The sequence below is a fragment of the Homo sapiens genome, chromosome 3 (genome assembly GCF_000001405.40).
Source record: "Homo sapiens chromosome 3, GRCh38.p14 Primary Assembly".
NCBI lineage: Eukaryota > Metazoa > Chordata > Mammalia > Primates > Hominidae > Homo > Homo sapiens.
Genome location: NC_000003.12, coordinates 119,464,846 through 119,468,626, shown reverse-complemented (window position 1 = coordinate 119,468,626; position 3,781 = coordinate 119,464,846).

Genomic DNA, 3,781 nt, shown 5'->3' with positions numbered 1-3,781 from the left:
GCATGTGTGTGTGTGTGTGTGTGTGTGTGTGTGTGTGTGTACAGCACGGTTAGACCCCAAAGGTTGCAATTAGCATAGCAGGGATCCCTTTGTAATAGGAATTTATAACAGTTGGGGTGACTTAGACGTAGGAAAAAAGATCAATGGTGTTAAATAAAGTTTATGGGAGGTCGTTGTTTTGGACAGAACTCTGGCACTAGGCCTCAAGAGAGCAGACAAAACCAGAATGGAGGCAACTTGTCCTAGGTGCTGCGTAATTAAACTCAGCTTTAAAAGGGGTCAGTTTTCCAACAAATAGGAGAAGGGGCCCATATACCTGAGCTGGCATGATAAAGAAGTCCCCTCTGATGTAACTCTTTGAGGAAAGTAACTTCAAAATGACCAATCTGCTTTTTGTTCCTTATTTCTGCTTTCTTCAGCCCTTTTCTGCCTATAAGCCCAACCCCTTCTGCTCAGCTCATTAGAACACTTTTCTGTTTTATAGATGAGATGCTGCCTGATTCATGAATCACTAATAAAAGCCAATTCGATTTTTTTTTTTTTTTGAGACAGAGGACAGTCTAACTCTGTTGCCCAGCCTGGAGTGCAGTGGCACAATCTTGGCTCACTATGACGTCTGCCTCCCGGGTTCAAGCAATTCTTCTGTCTCAGTCTCCCGAGTAGCTGGGATTACAGGAGTGTGTCACCATGCCCGGGTAATTTTTGTATTTTTAGTAAAGACAGGGTTTCACCGTGTTGGCCAGGTTGGTCTCAAACTCCTGACCTCAGGTGATCTGCCCACCTCGGCCTCCCAAAGTGCTGGGATTACAGGCGTGAGCCACCATGCCTGGCCAAGAACTTTAAACTAAATTTGATGAAATTTTGTTTCTTGACAGTGGGCAACATGATACTGGACAATATAGGTATATAGTATAGTACAGGTATATATCTTTATACAGGTATATATAGGTCAGTGTAGATATATTTAGTAATCATAGAACTACAAATATTTATCTATTTTCTTTTTTTTTTTTTTTTTTGAGATGGAGTTTCGCTCTTGTTGCCCAGGCTGGAGTGCAATGGTTCAATATCGGCTCACCACAACCTCCGCCTCCTGGGTTCAAGCAATTCTCCTGCCTCAGCCTCCTGAGTAGGTGGATTACAGGCTTGCGCCACCACACCCGGCTAATTTTGTATTTTTAGTAGAGATGGGGTTTCTCCATATTTGTCAGGCTGGTCTCGAACTCCCGACCTCCGGTGATCCACCAGCCTCGACCTCCCAAAGTGCTGGGATTGCAGGCGTGAGCCACTGCGCCCAGCAATATTTATCTATTTTCTAAAATGTACATGGTTATATCCCTAAGCCTTGTGGAAATATGGAAATACAGGGAAGTACAAGATCAAATCTGTGCTCCCAGGAGTTTAGAACTAGTAGGGAAGACAAATATGCTTCCTTAGAGATAGTTTACAATTTAAGGCAATAGTTAAGTGCCACTGGTTTCAGTGGAGGAAAAGATCAATATGAAGTGGAAATCTGGAGAAAGGGGTAGGAGGGGTATATTTTGTACTGAAGAAAAGGAAACGTTACAGTTAAGGAATATTGTGCTGGAGTCACTAAAAATATGGGAGCCATAATTTGCAGAAGGTGGGGATCAAATTTAGCTTGACAGTAGTGGAGGCTTTAGGATGCACGTTAAGGAATGGTGGAAGAGAAAATAATGTTGATTACCTAGGAATGGGCCGTATCGGTCACATATTACACCCATATGGGCATTTGGTCTATATTCCACCAGGGCAGAACCACCCAGTTTTTGTATGAGTGAGGCTCACTTTGGGTGAACAGACAGGAAAAAAAATGTATATCCAAAACTATAGCATATTTCTTCTGGAATCCAAATGAAACTTTAGTCAAAAATTTTTCTACTTCCAGGAAGGTGTGCAGTACAGTCATGTGTTGTTTGACAATGGGAATATGTTTTGAGAAATGTGTCAGGCAATTTTGTTGTGTGAACATCATAGATTATACTTACACAAACCTAGCTAGTATAGCCTACTACATACTGAGGATATTTGGCATAGCCTATTGCTCCTAGGCTACAAACCTATTCAGCATGTTACTGTACTGAATATTACAGGCAATTGTAACACAATGGTAAGTATTGGTGTATCTAAACATTGAAAAGGTACAGTAAATGAGTAAAAATGATACACCTGTATAAGGCACTTACCATGAATGGAGCTTGCAGGACTGAAAGTTGCTCTGGATAAGTCAGTGAGTGGTGAGTAAATGTGAACACCTAGAACATTACGCTACTATAGATTTTATAAACACTGTACAGTTAGACCATACTAAACTTATAAACACGTTTTTCTTTCTTCAGTAATAAATTAGCTTATTGTAACTTTTTTACTGTACAAACCTTTTTTTTTCAACTTTTTGACTTTGTAATAACACTTAGCTTAAAACACAAGCACATTGTACAGCCATACAAAAATATTTTTTCTTTCTTTCTTTTCCTTCCTTCCTCCCTCCCTCCCTCCTTTCTTTTCTTTTCTTTTTTTTTTTTTGAGACAGTCTCGCTTTGTTGCCCAGGCTAGAGTGCAGTGGTGCTATCTCAGCTGACTGCAACCTCTGCCTCCCAGGTTCAAGCAATTCTCGTGCCTCAGCCTCCTGAGTAGCTGGCATTACAGGTGTACACCATAACACCTGGCTAATTTTTGTATTTTTAGTAGAGACAGGGTTTCGCCATGTTGGCCAGGCTGCTGTCAAACTCCTGGCCTCCCAAAGTGTGGGGATTATAGGCATGAGCCACTGCATCCGACCTATTTTCTTTATTTCTATCTTTATTCTATAAGCTTTTTTCTATTTCTAAAATGTTTTATTTTGTTTTTTACTTTTTAAACTATTTTATTGAAAACTAATATGCAAACACACACGTGTGTGTTTGGGTCAGGCCTATGCAGGGTCAGGATCATCAATATCACCATCTTTCACCTCCACATCTTGTCCCTCTGGAAGATCTTCAGGGTCAAGAACACACATGGAACTGCCATCTCCTAGGATAACAATGCCTTCTTCTGGAATACCTTCTGAAAGACCTGCCTGAGGTTGTTTTACAGTTAACTTTCATTTTTTTAAAATAAGTAGAAGGAGTACAATCTAAAATAACAATAAATGTATAGTATAGTAAATATATAAACCAGTAACAAAGTAATTTATTATCATTATTTAGTATGTTATACTGTACATAATTGTATGTGCTATACTTTTATACAACTGGTAGTGCAGGTTTGTGTACACCAGGATACATTGCACTACAACATAAAGACAGCTACATCATTAGGCAATAGGAGTTTTTCAGTTTTATTATACTCTCATGGGCTCACCATCATTTATGTGGTCTTTCATTGAAACATCATTATGGGACACATGACTGTATTTAAAAATGAAAAAAAAACCAGAATGGTTGTACGAGTACTGGAAGTACAGTTTCTACTGAATGAGTGTTGGTTTTGCACCATCATAAAGTTGAAAAATTGTGAGTCAAACCATCCTAAGTTGGAGACTTGTGTGTATTCCTAAGTGACAGCTCTGTGGTACATTAGGACATTAGGAATATTTGGGAATATTAGCAACTTTACTGGTTTCGATATCAGTCATTCTGGCTCTAAATTCTGGTTCTGGCTCTTATTAGCCAGGCTATTTTCTTTTTTTTCTATTATTATTATTATTATTTTTGAGACAGGGTCTCTCTCTGTTGCCCAGGCTGGAGTGCAGTGGCACAATCTCGGCTCACTGCAA